At 44.0% G+C, this 18,168-nt stretch overlaps 1 protein-coding gene, 1 long non-coding RNA gene and 1 pseudogene across 5 annotated transcripts in view, besides 2 other annotated features; 2 read left to right on the plus strand and 1 right to left on the minus strand.

Moving 5' to 3' along the window:
* Window positions 236-1,805, plus strand: HMGB1P9 (high mobility group box 1 pseudogene 9; annotated as a pseudogene).
* On the minus strand, window positions 16,061-17,146 carry LOC101928487 (uncharacterized). Of its 2 annotated transcripts, none has more exons than XR_923908.2 (2): window positions 16,988-17,146; window positions 16,061-16,811 (listed from the first exon to the last, which is right to left on the minus strand). It is a non-coding gene; the product is annotated as an uncharacterized LOC101928487 (long non-coding RNA). The 2 variants fall into 2 exon arrangements; XR_241416.3 differs by having other exon boundaries at window positions 16,921-17,146.
* Window positions 17,149-18,168, plus strand: part of ARPC2 (actin related protein 2/3 complex subunit 2) — a 37,160-nt gene continuing 36,140 nt past the window's right edge. The window contains exons 1-2 of one of the 3 annotated variants that reach the window (NM_152862.3): window positions 17,149-17,214; window positions 17,423-17,504. In NM_152862.3, the coding sequence (NP_690601.1) occupies window positions 17,431-17,504 (74 nt within the window). In that variant the 5' untranslated portion in view covers window positions 17,149-17,214; window positions 17,423-17,430. Of the gene's footprint in view, window positions 17,215-17,356; window positions 17,505-18,168 lie in introns of those variants that run through there. The other 2 variants (XM_017003113.2, NM_005731.3) reach the window with 2 other exon arrangements.
* Window positions 17,158-17,761: an enhancer, noted in NCBI's record as "H3K27ac hESC enhancer chr2:219081921-219082524 (GRCh37/hg19 assembly coordinates)". NCBI's record gives its function as "activates a minimal SCP1, AML or CMV promoter by ChIP-STARR-seq in naive H9 embryonic stem cells {active_cell/tissue: H9 hESC(naive)}" and the evidence as "EXISTENCE:reporter gene assay evidence [ECO:0000049][PMID:30033119]".
* Window positions 17,283-17,332: a silencer, noted in NCBI's record as "silent region_12311". NCBI's record gives its function as "represses an Ori minimal core promoter by ATAC-STARR-seq in GM12878 lymphoblastoid cells {active_cell/tissue: GM12878}" and the evidence as "EXISTENCE:reporter gene assay evidence [ECO:0000049][PMID:35858748]".

Below are 18,168 nucleotides of genomic sequence, written 5' to 3' on the forward strand. Positions count from 1 at the left end.
ATACACACACATATATATATATATATATACATATATATATATATATGTATATATATATATATATATATATATATATATATGGCCAAGGTGATAGATGTTAGAATCTTGTTTAGGATATGTTATATGGTGATAGTGACTGGATGGCATTCCTGTGATTGCATTATGTTATATAATACTCCATCTTAGCTGACTCGAGAGAGACTCCCTTGCTGGCTTTAAAGAAGTAAGCTGTCGAAGAGTAATGTTACAGAGCAGAGAGAGCGAGGAGGCTGCGTCTGGCTCCCGCTCTCAGCCATTGCAGTACATTGAGCTCCATAGAGACTGCACCAGGGCAAGTGAGAGCCAGAGGGGCACTGGGCAACTCTGTGCCTCACTGAGGAAAAATAACTAAACATGGGCAAAGGAGATCCTAAGAAGCCGAGAGGCAAAATGTCATCATGTGCATTTTTTGTGCAAACTTGTTGGGAGGAGCATAAGAAGCAGTACCCAGATGCTTCAATCAACTTCTCAGAGTTTTCTCAGAAGTGCCCAGAGACGTGGAAGACCACGATTGCTAAAGAGAAAGGAAAATTTGAAGATATGCCAAAGGCAGACAAGGCCCATTATGAAAGAGAAATGAAAACCTATATACCCCTCCTAAACGGGAGACAAAAAAGAAGTTCCGGCCGGGCGCGGTGGCTCATGCCTGTAATCCCAGCACTTTGGGAGCCGAGACAGGTGGATTACGAGGTCAGGAATCCAAGACTACCTGGCCAAGATGGTGAAACCACATTTCTACTAAAACTACAAAAATTGGCCAGGCGCAGTAGCAGGTGCCTGTAATCCCAGCTACTCAGGAGGCTGAGGCAGGAGAACCGCTTGAACCCGGGTGGCAGAGGTTGCAGTGAGCAGAGATCGTACCACTGCACTCCAGCCTGGGTGACAGAGTGAGACTCCATCTCAAAAAAAAAAAAAAAAGAAGAAGAAGTTCAAGGATCCCAATGCACCCAAGAGGCCTCCTTCAGCCTTTTTCCTCTTCTGTTCTGAGTATTGCCTAAAAATCAAAGGAGAACATCCTGGCCTGTCCATTGGTGATGTTGGAAAGAAACTGGGAGAGATGTGGAATGACACTGCTGCAGACGACAAGCACCTTTATGAAAAGAAGACTGCCAAGCTGAAGGAAAAATATGAAAAGGATATTGCTGCATATCGAGCTAAAGCAAAGCCTGATGCAGCAAAAAAAAGGAGTTGTCCAGGCTGAAAAGGCAAGAAAAAGGAGGAAGAGGAGGAAGATGAGGAAGATGAAGAGGATAAGAAGGAGGAGGAGAAAGATGAAGAAGATGAAGATGAAGAAGATGATGATGAATAAGTTGGTTCTAGCACAGTTTTTTTTTCTTGTCTATAAAGCATTTAACCCCCCTGCACACAACTCACTCCTTTTAAAGAAAAAAAATGAAATGTAAGGCTGTGTAAGATTTTATTTTAAACTGCACAGTGTCTTTTTTTTGTATAGCTAACACACTACCGAATGTGTCTTTAGATAGCCCTATTCTGGTGGTATTTTCAGTAGCCACTAACCTTGCCTGGTACAGTATGGGGGTTGTAAATTGGCATGGAAATTTAAAGCAGGTTCTTGTTGGTGCACAGCACAAATTAGTTATATACAGGGATGGTAGTTTTTTTATCTTCAGTTGTCTCTGATGCAGCTTATATGAAATAATTGTTCTGTTAACTGAATACCGCTTTGTAATTACAAAAAAATAAAAAGTTGCAGCTGTTTTGTTGACATTCTGAATGCTTCTAAGTAAGTACAATTCTTCTATTAGAAAAAAAAAAGCTATCATGTTTATCAAGGAACTGTGGGTGGCCTCTGAGAGCCAGAAAGAAAATGGGGACCTCAGTGCTACAACTGCAAGGAGATGAATTTGCCAATAACCTGAGGAAGCTTGCAAATTGACCTTTCCCTGGTTGAGACTCTGATGAAATTACAGCCCATGTCAATACTTGGTCTGAAGTCTGGTGAGTCCCTGAGCAGGGGACCCAGTTAAGTTGTGCCTAGACTCTTGACCCATGTAAACTGTAAGATAATAAATGGGTGTTATTTGGGGCTGCTAAGTTTGTGGTAATTTGTTACTCAGCATAGAAAACTAGTGGAGCATCTGTCCATCACCAGAAATTTTTGATTTTTTCACTGAAATAATTTCTCAAAAACTCCACTTTTCTCCATCTCCACTACTCCACCCAGAGTAAACTGCCATCATCTCCTATCCAAATAGAGTATCTTTCGGCCTGGCACAGTGGCTCACACCTCCCAGCACTTTGGGAGGCTGAGGCAGGAGGACTGCTTGAGCCCAGGAGTTTGAGATCAGCCTGGGAAACATGCCAAGACCCTGTCTGTATTAAAAATCAAAAGAATTAGTCAGGCATGGTGGTGTGGACCTGTGGTCCCAGCTACTTGGCAGGCTAAGGCTGTAGGATTGCTTAAGCCTGAGAGATCAAGCCTGCAGTGAGCTATGATTACGCCACTGCACTCCAGCCTGGGTGACAGGGCAAGACCCTGTCTCGAAAATAAATAAATAAATAAATAATTTTTAAAAAATATCTCCTTAATCTCCACTGTCACATTTGCTCCTCCTAACTTAACTGGATCAAGTCATGAGAACACCTCAGGCAAGTTAATAATTTCCCGTTCCTTCAACTCAACATTTTTTCAGTAGAGACAAGGAGAAATTTTCTACTAACAAAAGTGATGCATCTCTCTTTTTTTTTTTTTTTTTGAGATGGAGTCTCGCTCTGTGACCCAGGCTGGAGTGCAATGGCCTGATCTAGGCTCCCTGCAACCTCCACCTCCTGGGTTAAAGCGATTCTCCTGCCTCAGCCTCCCGAGTAACTGGGACTACAGGCGCGTGCCAACACACTCGGCTAATTTTTTGTATTTTTAGTAGAGACGGGGTTTCACTGTGTTAGCCAGGATGGTCTCTATCTCCTGACCTCATGATCCACCCACCTCAGCCCCCCAAAGTGCTGGGATTACAGGCGTGAGCCACCGCGCCCAGCCACATCTCTTTCTATACCAAAACGAGAGGTTCAATATATGCGATTTTCCAAAGCAGGTAACTCCTTGGGAGACCCATTAAACCACTTAAAATTTAAACAACAGGCTGGGCACAGTGGATCACGCCTGTAATCCCAGCACTTTGGGAGGCTGAGGCGGGGGATCACTTAAGCCCAGGAGTTCAAGACCAGCCTGGGCAACATAGTGAGACCCCATCTCTATTAATTAAAAAAATTTTTTTTGTTTAGTCACTCATTTTCTGTAAATAGCACAACCTATTGTATTACATAGGTTCAGACCTTCAGCTTAATGTACTTGATGGCAGTTCTTGGCTGACTCATCTCAGGTTTGGAGGAACAGTTGGTACACGTCTATCACAAGTTTTTAATTTTAAGAAAGAACAATTTGGCTGGGCACAGTGGCTCACACCTGTAATCCCAGCACTTTGGGAGGCTGAGACAGGTGGATCACCTGAGGTCAGGAGTTCGCAACCAGCCTGGCCAACATGGTGAAACCCTGTCTCTACTAAAAATACAAAAATTAGCATGGCATGGTGGCGCACACCTATAGTCCCAGCTACTTGGGAGACTGAGGCAGGTGAATCACTTGAACTCGGGAGGCAGAGGTTTCGGTGAGCCGAGATCGCACCACTGCACTCCAGCCTAGGCAACAGAGTGAGACTCTGTCTCAAGAGAAAAAAAAAAGAAAGAAAGAAAGAACAAGTTATCTTTTTCTTTCTCTGTTGCTCAAGATTTGAGTGCCAAATCTGAGGTCATGAAGATTTACCTCATGTTTTCTTCTAATAGTTTTATCATTTACATTTAGGTTGTTGATCCAGTTTGAATTAGTTTTTGCATGTGGAATGAGGCAAGGGTATGAATTCATTTTTTCTTTTGCATGTGGTTATCCCATTGTCCCACCACAATCTGTTAAAGAGACTCTTCTTTCCTCCCATTAAATGGCACCCTTGTAAAAAATCAATTGACCATAGATGTTTGGTTTTATTGCTAAACTCTCAATTCTATTTTATTGGTCTATATGTGTCTGTCTTTATACAAGTACCACACTTCAGCGTGGGCAATATAGTGAGACCTCAACTCTCCAGAAAAAAAAATATTTTTTTAATTAGCCAAATGTGGTAGTGTGCACCTGTAGTCCCAGCTACTTGGGAGGCTGAGATGGGAAAATCACTTGAGTCCAGGGCCCAGGGGTTGCAGTGAGCCAAGATTGTGCCACTGCACTCCAGCCTAGGTGACAGAGTTAGGCCCTGTCTCAAAAACACCTTCCTGGGAAGTTTGGAAATCAGGTACCTTCCTGGTAAGTTTGGAAATCAGGAAGTGTGAGTCTTTCAATTTTCTTTTTCTTTTTAAATATTGTTTTGGCTATTCAGAGGTCCCTGCAGTTCTCTGGGTATTGTTTTTTGTTTTTTGTTTTTTTTCTTTTTGAGACAGAGTCTCGCTCTGTTGCCCAAGCTAGAGCGCAGTGGCGTGATCTCGGCTCACTGCAGCCTCCGCCTCCCGGGTTCAAGCAATTCTCCTGCCTCAGCCTTCCAAGTAGCTGGGACTACAGGCATGCACCACCATGCCCAACTAATTTTTGTATTTTTAGTAAAGACAGGACTTCACCATGTTGGCCAGGATGGTCTTGATCTCCTGACCCCATGATCTGCCCACCTCAGTCTACCAAAGTGCTGGAATTACAGGCATGAGCCACTGTACCCAGCCTGTCCCTGCAGTTTTATAGGAACTTGAGGATAAGTTTCAATTTCTCCAAAAAAAAGACCATTGGAATTTTGATCGGGATTACATTGAATCTATAGATTGCTTTGGGGAATATTGCCATCTTAACAATATTAACACTCCCAACCCATGAACATGGGATGTCTTTCCATTCATTTAGGTCTTCCTTAGTTTCTTCCATCAATGTTTTTAGTTTTTGGTGTACAAGTCTTTCACCTCCTCAGTTAAATTTATTCCAAGGTAATTTATTCTCTCGGATGCTACTGTAAATTGAATTGTTTTCTTAATTTCCTTTTCAGATTGTTCACTGCTAGTGTAAAGAAACAGAGCTCATGTTTGTATGTTGGCCTTGCACCAACTTTGCTTAATTCCTTTACCAGCTATAGTAGGTTTTTGAGATTCTATGGGATTTTCTATACAGAGAGCCAAGTCATCTACAAATCGTGGTAGTTTTACTTCTTATTTTGCTATTTAGAGGCCTTTTATTTATTTTTCTTGCCAAATTGCTCTGTCTAGGACTTCCAGTATAATGTTGAATAGCACAGATGACAACAGACATCTTTGTCTTGCTTCTGATTCTAGAAACTAAGCTTTTAGTCTTTCACCATTGAGAATGATGTGTTGTGGGATTTTTTTCATAAATGCCCTTTATCATGTAAAGGAAGTTCCCTTTTATCTTAACCCATTCTGCTGCTATCACAAAATACCTTAGAGTGAGTAATTTACAAATAATAGAAATGTATTTCTGCCAGGCACAATGGCTCATGCCTGTAATACCAACAATTTGGGAGGCCAAAGTGGGAAGATTATTTGAGGCCAGGAGTTCAAGACCACCTCAGGTAACATAGCGAGGACTTATCTCTATTAGACATTTAAAAATTAGCTAGGCATGATGGCAGGCACCTACAGTCCCAGCTACTTGGGAAGCTGAAGTGGGAGGACTGCTCGAGCCAAGGAGTTTGAGGCAGCAGTGAGCCAGGATCTTGTCACTGCACTCCAGCCTGGGCAACAGAGCGAGACCCTGTCTCCTCACCACCAAAAAGAAGAAAGAAATTTGCTTCTCACAGTTCTGGAGGCTGGGAAGTCCAACACCAAAATGCCAGAAGATTTGGTGTTTGGTGAGGGCCTGTTCCATATATAGCATTTTCTTGAGGCATCCTCACAATAAGCAGGAAAAGGTAGAAGGGCAAAAGGAGACCAACACGGTGTCCTCACGTAGCAGAAGAGATTAAAGGGGAAAGGGGAGCCAGTTAGTTCTCTCAAGCCCTTTTATGAGGGCACTAATAACCTCCTTCAGGACCCACATCTTAATTCTATTGCATTGGGGTTGAGTTTCAACATATGAATTTTGGAGGGACACATACATTCAAATCATAGCACCTACTATTTCCAGTGTTCTGAGTTTTTATCATCAAAAGGTGCTGAATTTTATCAAATGCTTTTTCTGCATCTATTGAGATGACCATGTTTTTTCTTGTCATTTTATTATTGTGGCATATCACATTGATTGATTTCCTTGTGTTGAACCACTCTTGGTTTCTGGGATAAATTCCACTTAGACATGGTATGTGATTCTGTTTGTTTGTTTGTTTGTTTGTTTGTTTGTTTGAGACAGGGTCTCATTCTGGTTGTCCAGGCTGGAGCACAGTGGTGCAATCTCAGCTCACTGCAACCTCTGCCTCCAGGGTTCAAGTGATTCTCATGTGTCAGCCTCCATAGCTGGAATTACAGGCACATGCCATCACACCAGCTAATTTTTGTTTTTTTGTAGAGATAGCATTCCCCATGTTGGCCAGGCTGGTCTCAAACTCCTGACCTCTAGCGATCCTCCTGCCTCAACCTCCCAAAGTCATGGGATTACAGGCGCGAGCCACCACACCCAGCCAATTATTATAAAGTGCTATTGGATTTAGTTTGCTAGCATTTGGTTGGGGATTCCTGTGTCTATTCATAGAGATATTGGCCTGAATTTCGCTTCTCTCATGGCATCTTTGTCTGGATATCAGAGTAATACTGGCCTCATAGAATGTGTTAGAAAATGTTCGTTCCTCTTCCATTTTTTGGAAATGTTTGAGTAGAGTTGGTGTTAATTCTTCTTTAAATTGGCTAAAAATGTGTTGTTCAATTTCCCTGTCTTTGTGAATTTTCCAGTTTTTTTCTTCTGCTATTTATTTGTATCTTCATTCCACTGTGGTTGAAGAGGATACTTTGTATGATTTTGATTTTTTTAATGTATTGAGAATCATTTTCTGGCCTAGCATATGTTCTATCCTAGAAACTGCTCCATGTACACTTGAGAAGTATATTCTGCTGTTGTTATGTGGAGTGATCTGTGTTATCTGCAGTCTAGTTAGTTTATGATGTTCTTCAAGTCCTCTATTTCCTTGCCAATCTTCTGTCTAGGTGTTCACTCTATTATTGAAAGTAGGACATTGAAGTCTCCAACTATTATCGTAGAACTATTTTTCCCTTTAATTCTGTCCATATTTGCTTTATATATTTTGGACTCTGTTGTTTGATGTGTATATGTTTATAATTATTATATTTTCCTGATGAATTGATCCTATTATCAATATAAACACTTTTTGTCTCTTATAACAATTCTTGACTTAAAATATATTCTTTCTGATACTAGCATAGCCATTCCAGCTCTATTTTGGTTACAGTTTGCCTAGAATATCTTTTTTTTTTTTTTCAGAGACACAGTCTCACCCTGCCACCCAGACTGGAATGTAGTGGCACAAACATAGCTCACTGCAGCCATGGCTGCATAGTATTCCCGGACTAAAGCAATCCTTCCACCTCAACCTCTCCAGTAGCTGGAACCAGGTGTGCACCACCATTCTTGGCTAATTTTTTTTATTTTTAGTAGAGACAGGGTCTTGCCATGTTACCTAGGCTGATCTCAAACTCCTGGCTCAGGTGATCTTCCTGCCTTGGTCTTCCAAAGTGCTGGGACTGGCCAGGCATGGTGGCTCATGCCTGTAATACCAGCACTTTGGGAGGCTGAGGTGGGTGGATCACTTGAGGTTAGGAGCTCGAGACTAGCCTGGCCAACATGGTGAAACCCCATCTCTACTTAAAATACAAAAAAATTAGCTGGGGTGTGGTGGTACCCACCTGCAGTCCCAGCTACTCGGGAGGCTGGGGCAGGAGAATGACTCGAACCCCAGAGACAGAGGTTGCAGTGAGCCACTTCACTCCAGCCTGGGCAACAGAGCGAGACTCTGTCTCAAAAAAAACAAAAGACAAAGTGCTGAGATTACAGGTATGAGCCACTGTGCCCAGTCCCAGAATATATTTTTCTATTCTTTGATTTTCAACCTATTTGCATCTTTGGATCTTAAGTTAGTCTCTAGTAAAAGCATATAGTTGGATCATTTTTTAAAACTTCATTTTGCTGGCCAGGTGCAGTGGCTCACGCCTGTAATCCCAGCACTTTAGGAGGCCGAGGCGGGCAGATCACTTGAGGTTGTGGTGACTCACGCCTATAATCCCAGCACTTTAGGAGGCCAAGACGGGCAGATCACTTGAGGTCAGGAGTTTGAGACCAGCCTGGCCAACATGGTGAAACCCCATTTCTACTAAAAAAAAAAAAAAAAAAATAGCTGGACATGGTAGCATGTGCCTGTAGTCCGAGCTACACATGAGGCTGAGACAGGAGACTCGCTTGAACCCGGGAGGCGGAGGTTGCAGTGAGCCAAGATCGTACCACTGCACTTCAGCCTGGGCGACAGAGCAAGATTCTGTCTCAAAAAAAAAAAAAAATTTATTTTGCCAATCTCTGTCTTTTAATTGTTTAATCCATTTACATTTTAAATGATTATCGATAATAAAGAACTTACCTCTACTATCATGCTATTTATTTTCTTTTTCTTTTTTTTTTTTTACTTTTAATTTAGGTTCAGGGTACATGTGCGGGTAATAAGCATAATACTCAATAGGTAGTTTTTTTGATCCTCACCCTCCTCCCACCCTTCACCCTCAAGTAGGCCCCGGTGTCTCTTGTTCCCTTCTTTGTGTCCATATATACTCAATGTTTACCTCCCACTTACAAGTAAGAATATGTGGTATTTGGCTGTCTTTTTTTTTTTTTTTTTGAGATGGATTTTCCCTCTCTCACCCAGGCTGGAGTTCAGTGTCCCAATCTTGGCCCACTGCAACCTCCACCTCTCAGGTTCAAGTAATTCTCCTGTCTCAGCCTCAAGAGTAGCTGCGATTACAGGCACAAGACACCAGAGCTGGCTAATTTTTGTATTTTTCGTAGAGACGGGGTTTCATCATGTTGAACAGGCTAGTCTCGAACTCCTGACCTCAGGTGATCCACCCGCCTCAGCCTCCCAAAGTGCTGGAATTAGAGGTGTGAGCCACTATGCCTGGCTCCTTCAAGTTTTGAAAGAACATTTTACAGGCTATAATATTCCTGGTTGACAGGTTTTTTTATTTCACCACTTTAAAGATATCATCATTCCACTGCCTTCATGGTTTCTGATGAAAAATTAGCTGTTGTTCTTATGCAGGAGACTTGTAAATGAGTCACTTCTCTCTTTCACTTTAAAGATTTTCTCTTTATTTCTGGCTTTCAACAGTTTTGACTATAATATGTCTCAGTGTGAATCTCTGAGTTTATCCTGCTTTAAGTTTATCAAGCTTATTAGATGTATTGATTCACATCTTTCACCACATCTGGGAACTTTATGGCCATTACTTGTTTAAATATTTTTCCTTCCCCTTTCTCTCTCTCTCCTCTTTCTGTAACTCCCATAACGTGTGTTTTGATATGCTTAATTTGTGTCCCACATGTCCAATAAGCTCTGTTCAATTGTTTTATTTTTGTTCCTCAAACTGGGTAATTTTAACTGCCCTATCTTCAAGTTCACTGATTCTTTCTTCTGCCTGCTCAAATGTGCTGTTGACCCCCTCTAGTAATTTCTGCACTTCAGCTATTGTACTTCTCAGCTCCAAAATTTTTATTTGGTTCCTTTTTATTATTTCTATCTCTTTATGATATTCTATGCTTGTATATACACCATGCTCCCGATTTTCCTTAGCTATTCTTCATGGTTTCCATGAGCTCTTTTCTTTTTTCCTTCAGCATATTTAAGACAGTTAAGTCTTTTTATATAAATCCAACATCTGGGCTCTTCACGGATAGTTTCTATCAATTTTTTTCTATATTCCTTTTACTATGAATGAACCATACTTTCATTTTATGTTGCATGCTTTATAATTTTCTGATGAGAACTGGAAATTTTGAATATTAAAATTGTAACTCTTGAAATTAGATTTTCTCTTCTGCCCCAGTTTCAGGGATTACTGTTGCCTGAAGAAAGCTACAGTCATCTGTTTATTTAGTGCCTTTTCCTAACTCTGTTGCAAAGACTATATTCCTTGGCATGTGTAGTCACTAAAGACTCATAATTTCTGCAGTCAGCCAGTGACCTAACAGAGATTTCCTTAAATGCCTGGGTCCAAAAAAGAAAAGAAAAGGCTGTTTTGTCTCTTTAAATCCCTTCCATCACTCAGGAGGCTGAGGCAGGAGGATTGCTTGAGCCCAGGAGTTTGAGTCTAGCCTGAGCAACATAGCAAGACTTCATCTTTTTTTTTTTCTTTTTGAGATAAGAGTCTCGCTCTGTCACCCAGGCTGGAGCACAGTGGCATGATCTTGGCTCACTGCACCCTCCACCTTCCAGGTTCAAGCAATTCCCCTAGCCTCAGCCTCCCGAGTAGCTGGGATTACAGGCACATAACCAAGCCTGGCTAATTTTTTTCATTTTTAGTAGAGACAGGGTTTCACCATGTTGACCAGGCTGGTCTCGAACCCCTGACATCAAGCGATCTGCCCGCCTCAGCCTCCCAAAGTGCTGGGATTATAGGTGTAAGCCACCGTGCCCGGCCAAGACCTCATCTTTAACAAAAAAAAAGAAAGAAAAAAGAAAAGAAAAAAAAAGAGCTTTTTAAATCCCCTCCACCAATAAGAAAACCATTTCAGCTGAGCCCATGGAGGCTGAAACAATAACCAACCTTAGCAGTGGCCCCTTAGCAAACTAAGGCATATCAAAATACACAAGCCTGATTTTTGGAGGACAAGGTCCCTATAGCCCACCCTCACATCGCCAAGCACATCAGGGATACAGACTGCCATCTCCACAACTGGATGCTGCTGGGAAGAATTCACCAAAATTCACCAGCCTCTTTCTTAATCAAGTACTCCCTTCAATGCTGCAAGTGCTTCACTAGAGTCTGGAGCTCCAAATAGTTGGTTCTGACAGTTCTTGCCAGCTCAATAGTGGTTTCAGTGAAGGGATCAATTCTACTCTGCTATCTTCCATGACATCACTCTTCCCCCACCCCACCACATTAGTCTTTATCCCATAGGAAACAGAAGGCACCCTCAAGATAGGATAATTTGAGAAGAATGTATTTAAGAAGGATTATTTACAAAAGTGTGGATGTAGGGGAGCCAGAAGAGGGAATGCATTAACCCAGGACTAATAGCAGCCAAGCTGATACTATCCCTAAGCCCAAAGGGTTGAGGAGAGGGATCAGGACCAGGAAGGAAGGAAAGAGTTGTGCTGAGGTGGCCACCTTGAAAGGGGCAGTGACATTTGGTTGATGAACACAGCCAGCCTGAGGCGACCTCAAAAGATGAAGGAAGCCCAAGATTAAATAGCCTGATATTACTCTTTTGCCTCCTCCTCCTACTACTACTACTTCTGTTCCCCTTCCTCCTGCTGGGGCTCCTTATTGGCCAACCAAACACCCAGGCATAAGGGAGTCCAGTTGATATAGGGGTGAAAAAGGATGAAGAGTGGATCTGGAGGACTAACTGGAGAATGGCCAGACAGCCATTCCAACCCCAAAATTACCTCTAGCCTCTATCTTCAAGATTGAATGCAGCAAATTTCTGGCTATTTAAGAACAGCCACTTTCCAAACACAACTGGAGGATTCTTCCCTGGAGAGAAGACCTCCCAATATTGACATTCGACATCTGGCACATCATCTGTGCAACTTACGGTCAACCTAGTGCTTCTCAAAACGTAATGTGCACTTGAATCACCTGGTGATATTGTTAAAATGCAGATTCTAAATCTGTAGGTTACAGTGGAACCTGGGGTTCTCCATTTCCAATGAGCTCCCAGATGATGTCAATGCTGCTGGTCCAAGGAGCTAGTCAACTCATCTTGCCCAAACACTTAGAGTCTCCACTCAGCTTTTTAGTGTCTCATCCTTAAATATGAATAGATTGCTAAAGTAGACAGAAGTTTGAGATGGCCATTAGCATGAGAGTAACCAAAATAAATTAGCATTAAAAAGGACCCAAGGAAACAGAGACAAAGTGGAGAGAAGGAAAACTAAAAACAAATTCACTAATATCCTCACAGACAGGAAAACTTATGCCTGTCCATAAAACCAGGATAGAATATTATGGAAAAGAGACAGTCAGCAGGAAAAAAAGGTCTTGGGAATTAAAAATAAGAAAACTGAGGCCGGGCGCGGTGGCTCATGCCTGTAATCCCAGCACTCTGGGAGGCCGAGGAGGGCGGATCACCTGAGGTCAGGAGTTCGAGACCAGCCTCAACATGGAGAAACCCCATCTCTACTAAAAATACAAAAATTAGCCGGGCATGGTGATGCATGCCTATAATCCCAGCTATTCGGGAGGCTGAGGCAGGAGAATTGCTTGAACCTGGGAGGCGGAGGTTGCGGTGAGCCGAGATCGCGCCATTGCACTCCAGCCTGGGCAACAGGAGCGAAACTCCATCTCAAAAAAAAAAAAAAAGAAAGAAAGAAAAAAAAGAAAACTGAAAGTTCAGCCTTGGGCAACATAGGAAGACCTCATCTCTACAAAAAATTAGCCAGATGTGGTGGCACAAGCCTGTGGTCCCAGCTACTTGGGAGGCTGAGGTGGGAGGTTCGCTTGAGCCCAGGAGGTTGAGGCTGCAGTGAGCTGAGGTTGCCCACTGCACTCTAGCCTGGGCAACAGAGCGATACCCTGTGTCAAAAACAAAACAAAACAAAACAAAAAGTTAAAATGGCTGAAGATAATGCAAGAAGATATTCCACAAAAATAGAAAAACAAAAAACAAACAATGGGTTGGTTTAGAGTTCAGTTTTGCAAGATGAAAAGAAGGTTCTTTTTTTGTGTTTTTTCTTTAAGACTCTGTCGTAAAGGCTAGAGTGCAGTGTCATGATCCTAGCTCACTGCAGCCTAAAACTCCTGGGCTCAAGCAATCTTCCCTGCTTATCCTCCCAAAGTACTGGGATTACAGGCATGAGCCACCATGCTCAGCTCTATGAATTTCTATTTTGAATCAGTGCTCAGTACAACAAATTAAGAAAGTGGTACAATAAAGCAAATCATTCTAAAATTTCTAACCAACAAGTTAAAGAGAGAATCCTAAGGCTTCCACAGATGGGGGAGATGTAACAGACAAAAGGATCAGAAACATGAATAGGAATTATACTTTTTTAATAGCAACCCTAGAAGGTGTAAGAAAATGTAGTATACCATCATTAAAAAGTCAGGAAACAACAGGTGCTAGAGAGGACGTGGAGAAATAGGAACACTTTTACGCTGTTGGTGGGACTATAAACTAGTCCAACCATTGTGGAAGTCAGTGTGGCGATTCCTCAGGGATCTAGAACTAGAAATACCACTTGACCCAGCCATCCCATTACTGGGTATATACCCAAAGGACTATAAATCATGCTGCTATAAAGACACATGCACACATGTTTATCGCGGCACTATTCACAATAGCAAAGACTTGGAACCAACCCAAATGTCCAACAATGATAGACTGGATTAAGAAAATGTGGCACATATATACCATGGAATACTATGCAGCCATAAAAAATGATGAGTTCGTGTCCTTTGTAGGGACATGGATGAAATTGGAAATCATCATTCTCAGTAAACTATCACAAGGACAAAAGAACAAACACTGCATGTTCTCACTCATAGATGGGAATTGAACAGTGAGAACACATGGACACAGGAAGGGGAACATCACACTCTGGGGACTGTTGTGGGGTGGGGGGAGGGGGGAGGGATAGCATTAGGAGATATACCTAATGCTAAATGACGAGTTAATGGGTGCAGCACACCAGCATGGCATATGTATACATATGTAACTAACCTGCACATTGTGCACATGTACCCTAAATCTTAAAGTATAATAATAATAAAAAAATAAATAAATAAAAAAGAAAATGTAGTATACCTTCAAAAAAAAAGGGAAAATTATTTTCAAACTTGAATATCTAGCCCAACAACACATCAAGTGTTAAATAGAAGTAACATATTTTCAAATATGCAAAGATTCTAACAACATATATCCCCCATCTCCCTTTCTTAGGAAGTTATTAGAGGAGATGCTTTAGCAAAACAAGGAAGTAAACCAAGAGGAAGACATGGGATCCAGGAAATGGGCAAAACCACCCCAGAACAACAATGAAGGAAAATTCCAGAATGACAACTGTACAGCAAGTCTAGCGAGCAGCCAGTCCAGATTGAAATAAGAGGAAGGAAGGCTCTGGGACAAAAACTCCAAAGAAAAAGTGGAACTTATATATTGAGTATATGGAAAACATTATTGCTAGACTTTTTGATAGTCTTAGAGCATTTGAGGGGAAAAACCAACTGTAAATACTGTTTACAGAAAATCAGACAGATGAGAGAAAAAAGGCAATAATTAACCCTAAGAAAAATGAAGGGCCATGTAAACTAGAAGTCATGATTATAGTGCATTTCTTGGCTCATCAGTAAACAATATTTGCATACATAATAATTTTAATACAGCTAGGTGCAGATTATTGGTTTTACCAAAAGTTATTACGCAGCTATATATGGTGGGAAGCAGAAGTGATAGAGTCAAGTTCTTATCTACCGTGTCAGGAAGTCAACACATAATGCTAAAAATTCACAAACCAAAAAATAATGGTATAAACATTTACTTAGAAACATGAAGGTAGGCCGGGCACGGTGACTCACACTTGTAATCCTAGCACTTTAGGAGGCTAAGGCAGGCGGATCGCTTGAGTTCAGGGGTTCGAGGCCAGCCGAAGCAACACGGTGAAACCCTGTCTCTACTAAAAATACAAAAATTAGCTGGACATATTGGTGGCCACCTGTAGTCCCAGCTAGTTGGGGTCTGAGGCCGGAGGATTGCTTGGGCCCAGGGAAATCGGGGCTTCAGTGAGCCAAGAGTGTGCCACTGCACACCAGCCTAAGTAACAAAGTGAAACCCTATCAGAAAGAAAGAAAGAAAGAAAAAGACAGAGAGAGAAAGAAAGAAAGAAAGAAAGAAAGAAAGAAAGAAAGAAAGAAAGAAAGGGATTATGAAGGTAAATATCAGGATGAATTTGTGAAAGAGTTGAGCATATTGCCTCCAAAGAGTAGGACAGGGAACTGCTTTTTTCATTACAAGCCTTTTAGTATTATAAGCATACATATTTTAAACAATTTATAAACATTATTTTAGTTCAATAGTCATTAATGTTACAAAGCTAGCTTATCGGTCGGGCATGGTGGCTCACGCCTGTAATCCCAGCACTTTAGGAGGCTAAGGCAGGTGGATCACTTGAACCCAGGAGTTTGAGACCAGCGTGCCCAATACGGCCAAACCCCGTCTCTACAAAATATACAGAAATTAGCCCAGCTTGGTGGTGCATGTCTATAGTCCCAGCTATTTGGCAGGCCGAGGCAGGAGGATCACCTGAGCTCGGGAGGCGGGCAGTGAGCAGAGATAGCAACGTCACTCCAGCTTGGGTGACAAGAGTGAGACACCATCTCAAATTAAAAAAAAAAAAAAAAAAAGGCCGGGCATGGTGGCTCACGCCTGTAATCCCAGCACTTTGGGAGGTCGAGGCAGGAGGATCATGATGTCAGGAGTTCGAGACCAGCCTGACCAACATAGTGAAACCCCGTCTCTACTAAAAATACAAAACATTAAAAGGGCATGGTGGCAGGCACCTTTAATCCCAGCTATTTGGGAGGCTGAGGCAGGAGAATCGCTTGAACCGGGGAGGCAGAGGTTGCAGTGAGCCGAGATCATGCCATTGCACTCCAGCCTGGGCAAGAGTGCAAGACTCTGTCTCAAAAAAAAAAAAATTTAAGTTAGCGTATAATTTTAGGGGATCAGCAATATCCTGAAGCTTATCCATAGCCCGTTAAGTAATGTTTCAAAGGGCTATCTGTGCCTTAATGATAGGAGCTAGTTTCTTGTTCATTTTTTTATCCCCATCCCCAAACACATAGCAGAAAATAAATTATTTCCTTGTATGTAGAACGGACTCAGCTAAGTTTATTATATTCTCCCCGGAGGAGGGAAAACACAAAACAAGGCACAAAGGCAGAAGGTGCAGATGTAGCACAACGATGAGTTAAGATTCCGCACGCAGGTAACAAGGAGGGTATGGTATATCTCTGCCAGAGGTACTGGAAGGTTTCAAAGGCAGAAAAAAATGTGTTCCGGACACCTGGACGCAGAATTGGAGGCATGACAGGAACACAGGGAGGCCCATCTAAGTTGCCTATTCACCCAGGTGACCTCTCTTTCATTTCTTTAATTGTCCTTTTAACAATATGGGGAATTTCACCCAAGGAAAGGGTCCTCTTCTCGCCCCAGCAGGCAAGGGGTGTTCCTCCAGCGCAAGTTCCGGCCCCAGCTGCCCCCACGTCCCACAGGTCTCCTGCCTTTTGGCACGCACACTCCTGACCACTCGCTGCTTCCGCATCCCTACTCTGATCCTCTCCCCATGCATCTCTGCCTCCTTAGACAACTGAGAATTTTATTGTCTGTTTCCTTTGCCAGACTGTAAGTTCCACGAGGGCAGGGCCTCGTCCATTTCATTTACCACTACATCCCCAGTATAGAGCAAGAGCCCATGAAAATGTTTGTTGGAGAAATGAATGCATGATGGTGTCGCTGGACAGCTATACCTGGAAAGAAAAAGAGGCACCCCCATCAAACAAGCTGGGAGCTAAGAAGCCCGCTGGGAGACGACAAGGGCGAGCTTCTTGCGAGGTTTCTGAAATGACAAGACCGGAAGAATGGAGTTGGATCTCTGGGACAAGCGGGAGAGAGAAGCTGAACAGTCAGGCAAGCCTCGGGGAATGACAGCTCCGCGGGGGACGCACTGGTAGGCGGTAGACGTAAGCGGGGTCGGTGGGAAAGTAGACGGTGGGGCGGCGGCATCACACATACGCAAGCGCAGCCTCCGTTTCCTCCGGCGCGCCTGCGCTCGCGTTCACGAGTGGTTGAAGCGGAAATGGCGCCGCGGGGCCGCGCGTCCAGGCGGCGAGCGGAAGTGGGTGTGAGAGCGGAAGTGGCCGGCTAGAGCCGGGGGCTGGGCGGGGACCGGGCTTGTCGGTGAAGCGGCAGTGGCGGCGGCGGCGGCGGCTCGGCAGGCGGGTTCAGGCTTCGGGGGCCAGGTCGGTTGGGTGGGTGGGTGTCTCCACAGTCTGCGTGCGTGGGCCAGCGCGTTCGTCTTACCCTTCCCTCCACCCCGGCCCCTCTCCCCTTCTCCCCTAACCTCCTACCCCACCCAGCCCCACTCAGGGGGCAGCAGGGCCGCTCCCTCCGTCCTTGCCTCCCTTACCCACCCTCACCGGCCCTTGTTTCTCCTTCCCCTGGGGGCAGCCGCCGCCATGATCCTGCTGGAGGTGAACAACCGCATCATCGAGGAGACGCTCGCGCTCAAGTTCGAGAACGCGGCCGCCGGGTGAGCGCGCGCCCGGGGCCGGGGGTGGCGGGGGAAGCAGAGTTGACCCCAGCTAATCCCCAATGTTGTCCAGTCCCCCAGACCTGGAGGAGAGAAATGGGGTGCCTGGCAGGGTGTAGGGGCTGCCCCAGCGGGGTAGACGTGGGAGGCGATTGGGCGCGGCCGGGCGAGGGGCAGAGATGCGTGGGGAGAGGCTCAGAGGAGGGATGCGGAAGCAGCGAGTGGTGAGGGCTGTGCGTGCCAAAGGGCAGGAGACCTGTGGGACGTGGGGGACCCTGGAGCCGGAACTCGCTCCGGAGTAGCCCCCTGCCCTCTGGGGCGAGAAGGGGACCCCTTCCCTGCGTGAAATTCCCCGGCATTGTTCTGAACCCAGAGAGAGCCTGTTTGGAATTGGGTTGGAAGGAGTTTTCAGGAATTCCCAGGACTGGAGGAGGGAAGGAGATGCAGGCCCACATCGCCACCAGCATTCTCGTTCCCCACCCCCATCTCCTTTAAAAGGAGCAGAAGAGAAGACTAAAAGCCGACCCAGTCTTAGAGCCGGAAAAACGCGATCTCTGGTTTCCCTTCCCCGAACCCTTCTGTGAGAGACACTGGGCCATTTTGTTACATATTTTTAAAGCAAAGCCAATTGTCCCTCGCTCCACACCCCTTCCTTATCTCTCCT

This window comes from Homo sapiens, chromosome 2 (genome assembly GCF_000001405.40).
Source record: "Homo sapiens chromosome 2, GRCh38.p14 Primary Assembly".
Taxonomy (NCBI): domain Eukaryota; kingdom Metazoa; phylum Chordata; class Mammalia; order Primates; family Hominidae; genus Homo; species Homo sapiens.